The sequence below is a fragment of the Homo sapiens genome, chromosome 12 (assembly GCF_000001405.40).
Source record: "Homo sapiens chromosome 12, GRCh38.p14 Primary Assembly".
Lineage (NCBI taxonomy): Eukaryota > Metazoa > Chordata > Mammalia > Primates > Hominidae > Homo > Homo sapiens.
This window is the reverse complement of record NC_000012.12, coordinates 5,914,311-5,929,424: the sequence shown is the minus strand read 5'-3', so window position 1 is coordinate 5,929,424 and position 15,114 is coordinate 5,914,311. Positions and strand designations below refer to the sequence as shown.

The window sequence follows — 15,114 nt, the reverse complement described above, 5'->3', positions numbered from 1 at the left end:
GACGAGTGAGGAAAGAAGATAGACTAGTAAGGAAGGAAGACTGGTAAGAGAGTGACTAATAAGGAAAGAAGGCAGACGAGTGAGGAAAGAAGATAGACTAGTAAGGAAGGAAGACTGGTAAGAAAGTGACTAATAAGGAAAGAAGGCAGACGAGTAAGGAAAGAAGATAGAAAAGGAAGGAAGACTGGTAAGAAAGTGACTAATAAGGAAAGAAGGTAGACGAGTGAGGAAAGAAGGTAGACTAGTAAGGAAGGAAGACTGGTAAGAAAGTGACTAATAAGGAAAGAAGGTAGACGAGTAAGGAAAGAAGACAGACTAGTAAGGAAGGAAGACTGGTAAGAAAGTGACTAATGAGGAAAGAAGGTAGACGAGTAAGGAAAGAAGATAGACTAGTAAGGAAGGAAGACTGGTAAGAAAGTGACTAATGAGGAAAGAAGGTAGACGAGTGAGGAAAGAAGATAGACTAGTAAGGAAGGAAGACTGGTAAGAAAGTGACTAATGAGGAAATAAGGTAGACGAGTAAGGAAAGAAGATAGACTAGTAAGGAAGGAAGACTGGTAAGAAAGTGACTAATAAGGAAAGAAGGTAGACGAGTAAGGAAAGAAGATAGACTAGTAAGGAAGGAAGACTGGTAAGAAAGTGACTAATAAGGAAAGAAGGCAGACGAGTAAGGAAAGAAGACAGACTAGTAAGGAAGGAAGACTGGTAAGAAAGTGACTAATAAGGAAAGAAGGTAGACGAGTAAGGAAAGAAGATAGACTAGTAAGGAAGGAAGACTGGTAAGAAAGTGACTAATAAGGAAAGAAGGTAGACGAGTAAGGAAAGAAGATAGACTAGTAAGGAAGGAAGACTGGTAAGAAAGTGACTAATAAGGAAAGAAGGTAGACGAGTAAGGAAGGAAGGTAGACTAGAGAGGAAGGAAAGTAGACCAGTGAGGAAGGAAAGTAGACTAGTGACGAAGGAAAGTAGACTACGGAGGAAGGAAAGTAGACTAGTGAGGAAGGAAAGTAGACTAGTGAGGAAGGAAAGTAGACTAGTGCAGAAGCCTGGGAGAGTGCGGATGCTCTGTCTCCCACAGGGCAGCCCTGGGCCTGTCTGGTTTTGCTGGAAGCAGTGGCTTTGGGAGGTTGGGGATGGAGGTGGCCCCTCATTTCAGGGCCCTTCATACTTCAGCCACCAGGAGTTAGGAATGAGACAGTAATGATGCCAAGAGGGAAACTCAGAGGAAAAGCCCAACTGCCCAGAAGTCCAGTTCCCTCAGGACACCTCCTCCTCCTGCTGCTGGTCTCTCTTGGAGGCTCTGGAAGTTGCCTAGGTCCCTGCTGACTCACCTTGCCCCCTATTCCATGCTTAGTGAACTCACTTTCTGCCCTTTCTCTGCACAATCTGGCCCTGTCTTGCTCCTGACTGTGTCTCCTGGTCTCCTTGGCTTTGGTGTTTCCCCTGTCAGCTACATGCCCAAGCTTCTCTCACTCTTACCAGCTCTCCACATTCTGTGCCTGCCCCTCCCCCCTGTTCAGAAGGGCCTTTCTAGCTCTCGGCCTATGCAGTGACCTTGAAGGTTCCTGCCAGACTGTCTGGGGATATAGCATTATTTGGAGGTCCCAGCCAGAACTTCTGCCTCTCAGCCATCTTCCTCTCACCCCATTAGAGATGATGCCTTCAGGCTATGACCTCTGCCCCATCAGCATGTGGGCTTATGCCTTCTGCAGAACCTTTTAATGTTTTCAAAATGCTTTTTACCAATATCAGGACGTAGCATGGGCTGTTTGTACTTTGGTGTAAATTAGCTGATTAGCAAAAGAGCCAGAGGTTAAATGAGGAAATGGTCGTTGGAAGCCCTGATGGTAGATGGACAGTGGAGGGTGGAATACAGGGCACAGAAGCTGGGGAGGGGCTTTGGGCAGGCCCAGAAAGGAGATTTCGGAAGGACTGGTTTGGGGAGACTCTGAAAACAGGCTTCACCTGTTTTTTCATTGAGATTTGGGCCTCTCCATCCTTCAGTCTCTGTTCTTTTCTCTCAATGTCTCTGATCCTACCCCTTCTTCATCTGCCTCTGTAGAGTGACCTAAGGTACCTGCAGTCCTGCGAGTGGTGAGGTTGGCTCCAATGAGAAGGGACAGAGGTCTCACCTGAGGCCACTGATATGAAACAGCCAAGACTGTACCGAAAGGATTAAAAAATGTGTGGTCATCCCTGATGAGTAAACCCACTTGTACTAATAATGGTGGGGACAGACAGCCAGTGCTTCTCCTGCTTAGTCTGGGGAAGCTTCCAGGAGGAAGTGGCAGGTGAGCAGGCAGTGGGCTGGGAGAGAAAGGGAATTCCAGGGACTTGAAGCAGAGCAGCTGGAATGAAGTGGAGAAGAGACGGATGAAGGAGGCAGCATGGACGTCCTGAAGTAGGGTTTGATAATTATCCTGTGCATTTTTCATAGCTCATGTACTTCCAAGGAATGTTAATCTTTTCTCTTACTGTATCATCACACTCACTTTATGAGGAAAAGATATAATAATGACACCTTCTCCCAAATCACCGAAGTAAAAACTAAGCTCAGAGAAAGGGTTTGTCTTGGGGCAGGGTGCTGGTGGTGAGGCCTTCCTCCGGCAACATCACATGGGTCCTCGTGGCCTGCACCTCCTCCCAATCCTGCACAACCCAACTTGTGGAACCTTACTCATGTCTAGGTTGGAAGGAAATTAGCTTTCTTAGTAGTATCTGAATATTCCAGTCTTACACCTTGATTAGCAGCTTTTTGAAGCAAGAATGGATTGCTTTGGATTTTCTGGGTCCCTAAGGACCAAAATAGTAGGTGGCCCACAACTAGATGAAGAGTGTGTAGGGAAGCATGGTCCAGGCAGCGGGAAGAATGCATGTAGGATGCTGGGCTGGGGAGCTGGTGTGCTAGAGCAGAGGTGTATGGCGGGACCCCAGGGAGCCAGCAGGAGAGAGGGGGTGGAGACTGGCGGGGCAGAATGCAGAGTCCCAGCCCGAGAGCCATGGGAGCCCCATAAGTTTGTGCTCTTGAGGGTGTCCTGGCCAGATGGATGTTTGTAAGGACCCCTGGCTGCCTTGTGGGGAACAGGGACAGGGAGCAGGGAGATCTGTTAGGAGGGCATCGCCGTCCTCCAGGGGAAGGAGGCTGACAGCTGGCACTAGGGTGGGACTCATGGAAGGGTGAAGAACAGAGGGGTTTGGCAGACATTTCAGGGGTAAAGTTTATAGGATCGGTACCAAATTGGACATGGGGCATGAGGAAGAACAGCTATCAAGGCTGCTTCTAGATTTCCAGCTCGTTGACTGTTTGGTGGAGCATTTGCAGGAGCAGGAAATGCTGAAAAAGAATCCTGTTTTGGAGAAGATCGTATGTTTGGATTTGGGCATGTTGACTTTGAGGGGCTGGGAAACATCCAAGTGTAGATGCTGAGCAGGCAGGGGAATGTGTGGACCTGGTGCCTGCAGGAGAGCAAGAGTTAGAGTGAAACTTAAGTGTCGTCAGCAATAGGTGACAATGAAGGTCTCTGGAGTGGATGAGAGTGCCCAGGGAGAGAGCTGGAACGTGGAGAAAGGCCCAGGCCCCAGCCTTACGACATCCATCTCCTCAACCCAGACGTGGGTAAGCCATGCCCCCACCCTCACGGCATTGCAGTTATGAACACCCAAGGATCTGTTGTTCAAGGCAGCGTGGAAGGAGAGCCAAGGCAACGGTGAAGGAAGGAAAGATTCTTTCCAAATGGGTGACATGTTCCACGGGCTGTGTACGATGGCCTTTCCTTCTAATTGACCTCATTCACCTCTTCTAAGCTTCTTAGGGAGTTCTCAAGGTGTGTGCTCACCTGCCTCACCCTTCCCCTTCCTGAGGGCAGGCGTCACTCGCGTTCCCCTTGGCCTTCCTCTCACGTCTGAAGGTGGCTCCCTTGTGTCTTTATTGCCTGGAGTGCCTCTCCAGAGCTGGGACGGCTGGGATGGCTGAACCGTGTGCTGTGCTCTAATCACTTGTGGGGAGAGGGAGAGAAGGGAAGCAGAGTTCCCAGGCAGCCGGATCCGTGTGTCAGAGAGCGAGCCGGGGGAGCAACTGCGATGGCTAGTGAGGGCCCTGAATGTCAGCCTCAAACTCCAGGTGGCACCTTTAGGGGATGGTGGTTCCTGGACAGCAGCTGGACCAAAGCTTTGCATTGCCCTTGAATCTGAGCTACTCTGAGCCACAGGTGCAAATCTGAATGTAGCTGCCAGGGTAGGGTGGCCCTTGAGTGAACATCATCTTTATCATGTTCCCCAGTGATGTATCCAGTGGTCTTGGGCTTTTTAGACATGCATCTAGAGGTTTCCAGGTCTTCTCTGGGGTAGAGTCCTTCTGTTCCAAGTTCTGTTCTCAGGCACTTGTGGGGCAGGCATGCAGGAAGGCACAAGGGAAGTGGGAGGAGGCGAGATTGGGCACAAGGGAGGAAGCCCCTTTTTTAGAGCCCTGAGCCTGAGCCCCATCACATGTAAACCAAAAAATATCTGAGACAGGCCTCAATCAATTCCGTTTATTTTGCCAACGTTAAGAATGTGGTTGGAAGAGAGGTCTGTGTCTTTCTCCAAAGATCATTTTGAGGGCTTCAATATTTAACGGGGAAAAGCAGGCTGTGGGGGAAAGAGGGAGGCTGTGGGAATCTGCATGTTGCAAGAGAAAAGGAGCAGTTAGGGAATTATCAATGATGTATTCATCTTGCGCTTTGGACAAGGTGAATATAGAGTAGCTGCCTGTGGAGCTATCTAGCCTTTTATCTGTAGCTGTCTGCTTAGGAACAAAAGGAAAGGCAGCGTCTTGCCTGACTCAGCTTTCGGCTTAATATTTTCCTTTCGGCAGAGTGATATGGGGTCCTGAGTTTTCATTTTCCTCCCACAAGGTGTGCCCACGCCTGCCCTTCTGTGCTGTCTCCCTAGGGAGTGCCTCCCGTGCCTCCTGGCCTTTCAGAAGCTACCCACCCTCCAGGACCCAGCTCTGGCTCAGTTACCCCAGAAGCCGACTTTGACTTAGTCTTTCTGGTCTCCCACAGTGTGGACTAGAACCCACAGTATAGAAAGGAATGATGAAAGCTTTCCTCTGCTGGTCACAGTTGTGTTTCCTGCATGTCAGCTCTGTCTTCATAAAGAGATTATGTTTCTCAAGTGCAGGGACCGAATGTTCTAGGACCCCTGAAACTGCGCTGGAGGGCTGAGCACCTAAGGGGCTGCTCCACAAGTTGGCAAAGGGCCGGGAGTTCTGTTTCAACAGACTGGAAGAGTTGCTTTTGTTCATTCATTCACTGAGCAGGTGCTTAGGGCTGAGTTGGAGACATAAGGTGTTACTTCTGCTCACTTGGAGGTTAAAATGCAAACACTAACGATTCTAATCACAGCCTTTGATCACATGCCGTCAGGCTAATCACTGCTCTGGGTGCTTTGCAGGCATTATCTTATTCTCATTCTCACTGCAATCCTGCAAGTTTGAGATTCTCATTTTACAGCTAGAGAACAAGCACAAAGAGGTCTTAGAGCTGGCAAGTGGCAGAGCTGAGGTTTAAGCCTGGGCACTGGCTGTGTTGCTTTTCTAGGAAGTGTTTCTCAGAGGAGAGAATAGATTGAGTCTGACCTGCGCTGAGACCTTGGCAACTCGCGGTTCCAGTGGGGTCTGTACAAAGTGCAGCTGGACTATCTACTCTCTCAGTTCCCTCCAATTCTAGCATGCAGTCATTCCATCACCTACTGGGGACTTTTCCCTTCAGGGGAGACACTGGAATTTTTCTGAAGTGGTCCTGCATTCCTGCCGAGAAGGGGCTGCAGACCTCTGGGGCCTGGGTAGAGGCAGCAGGTGCGTGAGGACCCTGAAAGGACACTGGAGGACAGTCCTTTGTTCAGTTGTTCAGAGGACCCCCTTGGTCTGTCCTTGCTCTCTCCCCGAGGGAGGTGGGGGCTGGCCAGGGTGCCAGCTGGTGCTGCTGCCACGGGAGAGGCCCAAAGCCTAAGCCTTTGGTATTAATTCAAGGTGTCTCTCCAGGCAGTGCCCCCCCACCACCCTGACTTGCTCAATGCCACCCCTTTCTTATCTGGGAATTATGAGAGATTATGACAGCCATGATCCGAAGGAGCTCCTGCTGGTGGCTCCACGCTGTGTGTGTGCGTGTGTGTGTGTGTGTGTGTGTATGTGTGTGTATGCGTGTGTGTATGTGTGCATGTGTGTGTGTATGTGGGTGTGTGTGCGTGCGTGTGTGTGTATGTGTGTGTGCGTGTGTGTGTATGCGTGTGTGTATGTGTGCATGTGTGTGTATGTGGGTGTGTGTGCGTGCATGTGTGTGTATGTGTGTGCGTGTGTGTGTGTATGTGTGCATGTGTGTGTGTATGTGGGTGTGTGTGCGTGCATGTGTGTGTATGTGTGTGTGCGTGTGTGTATGCAGTCGGGGGGCCGCACTTCCTTTTCCATGCTCCCTTCCTTGTGGTCAGTGTGAACCTGGGCTTTAGGGACTAACCAAGGAGGCAGCTGTGAAGCAAAATGGGCCATTTTCTCAGGGCTAGTGTCTGAGTACACTCAGTACCTCAGTGTCTTGGATTTCCTTCACCTGAGGCTGTTTTGCCTCCCTTGTCTTTCCCTCTCACAGATATACCCCTGCTCCCTGGCTCCCCACGCCGGCTGAGCCCTCAGGCAGGGTCCAGAGGGGGCCAGGGCCCCAAACATGGACAGCAGTGTCTCAAGATGCCAGGTCCCCGGGCCCCAGGTCTGCAGGGCGGTTCCAACAGAGATCCTGGCCAGCCCTGCGGTGGAGAGAGCACCCGCAGCAGCTCTGTGAGTACTGGGCGGGGGTGGGGTGGGGGGATAGGCCAGCCCTGTTGCAGGCCACCAAGGAGCCTCTGGTCTGGGGGATCCTCCAGTTGGGAGCACATGTGTGCGTGAAAGAGAGAGACCTAGGTTTGGGTAGGGCCTTTTCTCTTCTCTGTCTCCAAGTCAGGCACACTTTCCCAGTGCCCTGTTCTGGTCAGAGGAGGGTCAGGAAAGGAGGAGGCGTGGGAGGCCAGTCGATGCTGCCAGTTGGTCTGCAGGCCCCCTGGTTCCCCTCCTGCAAGCCTGAGCAACTGTCTTCTCTGCTATGGTGGCTCTGAGTCTCTCCCTTGTGCCTGGAGCTTCATCTGGTTGCCCAGGTGACCTCTCAGGTGGCTGCAGAGGCAGCTGGGTTTCAAACCAGTAATAAACAGGGAAACACCCACGGGGAGAGGCCGGTCCCTCCCCTGCTTCATCGTGTTCTCTCTCCTCCTCTTCTTTCCACCTCCCCACCTCTGGAGTGGAAGACAGCAGAAGTCAGTTCCCTGCTGCTGTCTTTGAAAGGGCCCTCACCAGTGGCTGGAGAGGAGGATGTGGGGCTGTGAATAGTGCCTGGTGAATTCCCGTGGGTGGGAGGGTAGGGGTCGGGTCTGGTGACTAGAAATTGGTCTTTGTTCCAATGGATCCAGAGAACCTGCCTGTGAGTATTCTGTGTTTAAATATATAGTGTATCTGCAGGCAGAGGTGCAGATCTGCAAGGAGGTGAGCGTGTGTGGGCCATGGTGCCTGTGGAAGGGGGTGTGTGTGTTAGAGCGCACTCGGGTAGATACGCGTGTACACAGGCCCCTTCACCTGTATGGTGCAGGAGTGCTGGTGCAGGGAGACAAGGGTAGAGGTGGCTGCGTGTGCATCTGCAGGTGCTTGCATGTGTGTGTGCAGGCGTGGGCGTGTGGTTCTGTGTGTGGAGGCAGGAGTGCGGTTGTGAGGGGTTTGCTGCTGCAGGTACAGTCTGTGTGTGAGTGTGTGTGTGCATGGATGCTGGAGCATGTGTGAAGGCACCGATGCCCAGACTGTCAACAGGTGGGTGGAGGGCCTCGCAAGCTGGCATGACAGATTAACTTAGGCCATTCGGTCCTTTTACTGGGGGCACTGGGGGCCTTTGGGCCTGAGAGGCTTGCTTCTGAGTCCGTTTCCCTGAGCCCAGAGCATAGATCAGCCTCCTCTGTTTCTCACCCCTTACTCACCAGACCTTGCCCTGCCTCTCCTCTCTCTCTGGCCAGGTCATCAACAACTATCTGGATGCCAATGAGCCTGTGTCCTTGGAGGCCCGTCTTAGCCGCATGCACTTCCATGACAGTCAGAGGAAGGTCGACTATGTACTTGCCTACCACTACCGGAAACGCGGGGTGCACCTGGCCCAAGGCTTCCCTGGCCACTCGCTGGCTATCGTCTCCAATGGGGAGACAGGCAAGGAGCCTCATGCTGGGGGCCCAGGTGACATTGAGCTGGGACCGCTCGATGCCCTGGAGGAGGAGAGGAAGGAGCAGCGGGAGGAATTTGAGCACAATCTGATGGAGGCTGGACTGGAGCTTGAGAAGGACTTGGAGGTGAGTCAGGCGGGTGGCCAGGGACTTGGAGATGGAATGGCACCACAGAACCGGGCTCCTAGTGAGCAGTGCCACCTGACAGAGAGCCTAGGCTTTATTCTGGCAGGTGGACTTTTTTTTCTGCTGGAGAAACCAGATTTTGTTTCTTTCTTTTTTTAAAAAAAATTTTTTTTGAGACGGAGTCTTGCTCTGTCACCAAGGCTGGAGTGCAGTGGTGTGATCTTGGCTCACTTCAAGCTCTGCCTCCTGGGTTCCTGCCATTCTCCTACCTCAGTCTCCCGAGTAGCTGGGACTATAGGCGCCCGCCACCAGACCCAGCTAATTTTTTGTATTTTTTTAGTAGAGACGGGGTTTCACCGTGTTAGCCAGGATGGTCTCGATCTCCCGACCTTCTGATCTGGCATCCTCGGCCTCCCAAAGTGCTGGGATTACAGGTGTGAGCCACCGTGCCTGGCCTGGAGAAACCAGATTTTCTTGCCCAAGGGCTTGAGAAAGAGTCTTGTGTTGCTAGTGGTCCTGATTAGGGGATTCCAGGTAGTAGTGGTGGGGTGGTGGTGTGCCAATCTGTTCTTTGGGAGTTGGGAGTTAGCCTAGTTAGACATTAAAGGCAAGAAATTTCTTCTTGACATTCTCAGGCCACATCTAGTGGCCTTCTCCATATGGTTTCCTTGGGAGGAAGACCTAGTTTCCTTGTTGAATTTTGGAATAAAATTCCTCTATATGAATCTCATTCACTAAGGAATGCGCTTGTCTGGGGTCCCCTGAGGGAGCTGATTTGAGATGTATTTGGAAACTGAGTTGGGACATACATAGGACATATTTTATCAACCTATAAGCTATAGATACTCTCACCTCTGGTCAGTGCAAGGGAATCCATGGAAATCCATTCATACACATATCCACCTATCCATCCATTCATCCACCCATCTGTCCACCCACCCATGCATGCATGCATGCATCCATCCATCCATCCATCCATCCATCCATCCATCCATCCATCCATTTATCCACACCACAGTGATCCTTTAAAAATGACCTTCCCTTGCCAGGCGCGGTGACTCACGCCTGTAATCCCAGCACTTTGGGAGGCTGAGGCGGGCGGATCACAAGGTCAGGAGATCGAGATCATTCTGGCTAACATGGTGAAACCCTGTCTCTACTAAATACACAAAAAATTAGCTGGGCCTGGTGTTGGGCGCCTGTAGTCCCAGCTACTCGGGAGGCTGAGGCAGGAGAATGGCATGAACCTGGGAGGCAGAGCTTGCAGTGAGCCGAGATCGCGCCACTGCACTCCAGCCTGCGTGACAGAGCGAGACTCCGTCTCAAAAAAGAAAAAAAAATGACCTTCCCTTGCCATCTCCCCCAAACTCATTCCTACCCTTCCCACCCTCCCTACCTTCCTGCAGGTCACGGGCCTCATCTTGGGTGTGGGCTGATCACCTTGACCTCAGGTCTTTGTGCTATTGCCCTCTCTGCTTTGGGCACCTTGACCTCAGGTCTTTGTGCTATTGCCCTCTCTGCTTTGGGCACCTTGACCTCAGGTCTTTGTGCTGTTGCCCTCTCTGCTTTGGGCACCTTGACCTCAGGTCTTTGTGCTGTTGCCCTCTCTGCTTTGGGCACCTTGACCTCAGGTCTTTGTGCTATTGCCCTTTCTGCTTTGGGCACCTTGACCTCAGGTCTTTGTGCCGTTGCCCTCTCTGCTTTGGGCACCTTGACCTCAGGTCTTTGTGCTGTTGCCCTCTGTGCTTTGGGCACTCTTCCTCAGACCTGTGCATCACATTCCCTCTCTTCAGCTCTCTGCTCAAATGTCACCTCCTTCCTGACATCTTCCCTGACCATCCTAGCCAAAATACCCCCACCCCGTCCCTCTCTGTCCCTCGATCCTGCCTTACTTTTCTTCATCACACTCAGCATTGCCACCTGGAATAACAATGATAGACTTTTTTTGTTTGTTTTTTATCTGTGCTCCCACTAGCTCCATGAAGGCAGAGATCTTGTTTGGCTCGCTGCACATCCCCAGCACCCAGGACAGACTCTGGCACATATAGGTGCTTAATAAGTGTCAGCTGAGTATATGAGTGACCTCCCTGAACCTCAGGTCCCTTATCTGCAAAGTAATAGATGCCTTGCTGGATTATACTTAAACATGCCTCATCATTAGATGGAGCAATGAAAATTTCAGCACAATGTCTGGTACATAATAGGTGCTCAATAAATGCTCATCATGATGATTTTAAAAGGTGTCATGCTGAGGCTTGAGGTGCCATTTTCATCAGAAGTTTGCCTGATAAGATTTAAGTTGGCTGGGTGTGGTGGCTCATGCCTGTAATCCAAGCACTTTGGGAGGCTGAGGCTGGAGGATTATGAGGTCAAGAGATCAAGACCAGCCTGGCCAATATGGTGAAACACTGTCTCTACTAAAAATACAAAAAGTTAGCCAGGCGTGATGGTGCTTGCCTGTAGTCCCAGCTACTTGGGAGGCTGAGGCAGAAGAATCGCTTGAACCCGGGAGGTGGAGGTTGCAGTGAGCTGAGATTGTGCCACTGCACTCCAGCCTGGGCGACAGAGGGAGACTCTGTCTCAAAAAAAAAAAAAAAAAAAGATTCAAGTTAATGCTTTCCTCAAACTGGAAGGGATCCCCAGAGGTCATTCATCCTTTCCTTTCCCCTGTCCCTAGGCAGAATGGCATGTGGCCTGGCTCATGCCTCATGGTGCTGGCCTGTGCTGCTTTGCCAGACCCTTAAGGCAGAAGACATTCTTCCTGGGTTAGTCTTTCCACCCATGTAGGAAGAGGGAGCTCTCTTAGGGATGCGTTAGGCTTCCTTGCTGTGGGAGTGCTGATTTTCACTTTTTGAAACCCAGAGCTCACTTGGTGGCTCCAGCTGGGGTCTGCTGAGATGGTCTCTCCAAGGTGAAGATGCATTCTCGCTCCAGGAACTTACCAATGTGGGAGCTGTGGTGCGTACCTCTGTTGTTGGGTCTTAGGGAGCAGAGGCCAGGGCTTCACTCAGCTGCCTGGTTGGGAAGCAGTATGTCTGTGCTCAAGAGAGTGAGCTCTTAAGGCCAATTACATATGTTCACATTCCAGGCCTGACTTACTAGCTCATGACCTTGCTTAGCTTACCTCATCCTTTTGGTAAAGCTTCCTGGTCTATAAAAAGGAAATAACAGGTCTGGTTGCAGTGGCTCACATCTGTAATCTCAGCACTTTGGGACGGTGAGTTGGATGGATTGCTTGAGGTCAGGAGTTTGAGACCAGCCTGGCCAACACGGTGAAAACCTGTCTCTACTAAAAATACAAAAAATTAGCTGGGTGTGGTGGTGCGCATCTGTAGTCGCAGCTACTCTGGAGGCTGAGGCAGGAGGATTGCCTGAACTCTGGAGGTGGAAGTTGCAGTGAGCTGAGATGGCACCACTACACTCCAGCCTGGGTGACAGAGCAAGACCCTGTCTCCAAAAAAAAAAAAAAAAAAAGAAAAAAGAGAATAATAATAACAGTACTTTCTTCACTGGGTTATTATGAAGATGAAACAAGGTAACTAAATAAAGTACCTAGAACACTAACAAAGAATATTACTGCTATTATTATTATTTACTGTTGCCAGGTTTAGCAAACAAAAATGCAGCATGCCTAGTTAAATTTGAGTTTCAGTTCAACAGTGAATACTTTTTTTTTTCTTAGCATGTACAATGAAATATTGGGGACATACACTAAAAATTATTCACTATGGATCTGAAATTAAAATGTAATGGTCCTGGCCACCCTTAATGCTACTATCAACACCACTGCCCATCTTGGCTGCCCCCGTCTCCCCACCATGCTTCATTCTGGTTTCTGTCAGATGTTCCCCGCTTTGGCTGGGAATTTGGAGGGCAAAGAGATGGCTCTTGCGACTGACCAGTGTTAGACTGGGGTCCTGGATTGTTGTTCCTGTTGTATAACCACCCAGACTCCTCCCTCTCAGCCCCCACCCATGGCTTCAAGGCCACTCAGCACTTCTTCATGAGGCTACTCCAGGTGACACAGCCTCCCCCAGCGTCCCTGTCATCAGACTTCCACCTCTCATTGTGGCCTACTGTCTTGCAGCGTTGTCTCTGTCTTCCAAAAGGTAGTTATTATGATCTGTGCTGGGACCTCGCGTGTAAAGCGTTGAGTTTACTTTTCAGCCATGGCACATTACTATCACTGATCTGCACAATAACTTGGGTTATTTATTTAAATCTCCCCCTGACTCTGCACTGCCTGCTACCTCGCAGGCAGTCATTCCAAGGCATCGTCGTTCTGGAAAAGATACAGTGTTTTGTTTTTTTTTTTAAATTAAAAAAAAGACTTTATTGTGTAGAACAGTTTTAGATGTACAGAAAAATTGGAAGATTGTACAGAGTTTCCATCTACCCCATTCCCAGTTTCCTGTATTATTAACACCTTACATTAATAGGATACATTTGTTACAGTTAATGAACTAATACTGACACATTATCATTAACTAAAATTCACACTTTATTCAGATTTCCTTACTGCTGCCTTTTTTTTTTTTTTTTTTTTTAACCTGCTGCGATTTTTCTATTCAGAGTTGTCAGGTCTCCTAAGACTTCTCTTGGTGGTGACAGTTTCTCAGAACTGTATGCATTCTTAATTTACATAGAAGGTACTGTTTTATAGCCCATTCTGTTTTTTACTTTTTTCTCTAGCACTTTATTTTTCAGATCCATTCACGTTCTGCATGTACATTGATTCCATTATTTTATTTTTATTTATTTTTGAGACCAGGCCTCACTCTGTCACCCAGGCTGGATTGCAGCAGTGTGATTTCAGCTCACTGCAGGCTCAACTCCCCAGGTGCCGGTGATCCTCCTGCCTCAGCCTCCTGAGTAGCTGGGACCAGCGGTGTGTGCCACCATGCCCAGCTAATTTTTGTATTTTTTGTAGAGACGGGGCTTCACCATGTTGCCCAGGCTGTTCTTGAACTCCTGACCTCAAGAGATCCACCCACCTCAGCCTCCCAAAGTGCTGGGATTAGAGGGGTGATCCACAGTGCCTGGCCAGACTCCATTATTTTAATGAATGAGCAGTTTGCAGCCACCACAGTGTACCTAGTCACTCCCCTAGTAATAATGAACACTTAGGTTGCTTCCAGTTGTGTGCCACTGAAAAAAAGGATCGAGAATGAATCGTCGCCTCCTTTGGGGCAGCATTCTGTGATATCCCCTGCTCCCTCCATGCCATGTTGGTGTTAAACTGTGCTTGGAGATTCATCAGCTAGAGGCTGTGAGGTTCTGAACAACTTTTCACCATGTTAAGATGCTTGGCCTTGGCTGTGAGCAGCAGCCTGGAATGGGGGCTTCACAGGAGAGGGAGACTTGCTTGACTGCACCTGGTGGCAGTTTGAACAGTAGGTGCGGTGGCCCCACCTGCTCAGCTGTCCCACCCTTCTGAGCTGGGCAATCTTTTAGGCTCTGGGTTCATTGACTTTAAGGCAAATGGAGAGCAAATGGGTTCCTATCAGAGACCCATTAAAAATGATTCACTTAGCCTTACAGATCAAAAGAACTTCGCATCCACTGAACTCTGTTTGAATAGCAGATAATTCACTTCCCACCCTCCTTGATACCTGGGCATGCTTTTGACAGGATGATAATTGGCACATACCTTCCATTTGGCATTTCACTTTTTCATTTTTTGTGCATATTTCCATGTATTGATATTGTCCATGTTCATATTTTAAAGACAATTCAGCATTTTATCAAATGTCTTTATATGTCATTTGATAAAATACTAAATTTTCTTTCAAGTATGAACATTTGCTTTCTTAGTTTGACCGTTTGATTAGAATTTCATTTAAAGACGTCGTTGGAGATGCTTATGGGTGACAGAGACGTCTGCACCCTACCAATTCATATAAATGAGGGCCACCTGTTGGTGCTGTGCATTGTGTCAGAGTTGGGGGCTAATTTAAGCAGTTCAGGAGACTGCCCCAGCCTTGAGCGTCCAGAGAGTTTCCTGTAGTCCTGGCGGGACTGCGAGTGGGTGAGCTGAACAGGCTCTGACACAGCTCTGGGGAGGTCTGGTCGGCCCACCTCCTCCCACTCTCTCTTAAAGAAACCTCCTGCTTTGACCCAGAGAGCGAGCAGGGCAGAGGCAGAGACTCACATGCATGGGTGTCACCAGGGGCACCTGAGGGAGGGGTCTGAGAACCAGGCACAGTACAATCCTGTGGAAGCCAGGAGGGCATGTTTGTAGACTTTTAGCTAAAGACCTCTCACCTTGCAGGCCCTGAAATCCTAGCAGACATGGCCCCAAGCTTCATCCTTGTGGGCAGCTAGATAGCTGAAATTGGAAATGGAGAATGGCATGACAGGGAGGCCAGGTGCCCCCTTACTAGGGGCTGGCTTTCTTGAGATTGAGGGACCACCAGGGAACTGATAGCAGAAGTTGGCTTTAAAATTCAGCGTGGCCTGGCATCGCCAGCAGGTCTACGGGCTGTTCTTGGAAGGGACAGCGTACCATCAGGGAAGTCTGGGGGCCCACAGCTGCTTTCGGGAGGTGGAGCCCTACTCTGTCTCGGTATCAGGTGTGAATCCAGGAATTTCCCAAATCCTTTCTCTGCAGAGAGGAGACTCCCTCCTCCTATGCCATGAGATGTCTCTGACCCCTGACTCCTCACCCTGTAGGTCTGGCAGAGCCTGGATGTCTGGCATCTCAACCTGAATTGCAGCACTGAGTCAAAG

General features: G+C 49.9%; 1 protein-coding gene across 3 annotated transcripts in view, besides 1 other annotated feature; it reads left to right on the top strand.

Moving 5' to 3' along the window:
* The window catches only part of ANO2 (anoctamin 2), a 383,578-nt gene that overhangs the window by 16,808 nt on the left and 351,656 nt on the right, over nucleotides 1-15,114 (top strand). For all 3 annotated transcript variants that reach the window (NM_001278597.3, NM_001364791.2, NM_001278596.3), the window contains exons 2-3: nucleotides 6,621-6,805; nucleotides 8,059-8,385. In NM_001278597.3, coding sequence (NP_001265526.1) covers nucleotides 6,621-6,805; nucleotides 8,059-8,385 — 512 coding nt within the window. The remainder of the gene's footprint in view (nucleotides 1-6,620; nucleotides 6,806-8,058; nucleotides 8,386-15,114) is intronic.
* Nucleotides 7,809-8,310: an enhancer, noted in NCBI's record as "H3K4me1 hESC enhancer chr12:6030281-6030782 (GRCh37/hg19 assembly coordinates)". NCBI's record gives its function as "activates a minimal SCP1, AML or CMV promoter by ChIP-STARR-seq in naive H9 embryonic stem cells {active_cell/tissue: H9 hESC(naive)}" and the evidence as "EXISTENCE:reporter gene assay evidence [ECO:0000049][PMID:30033119]".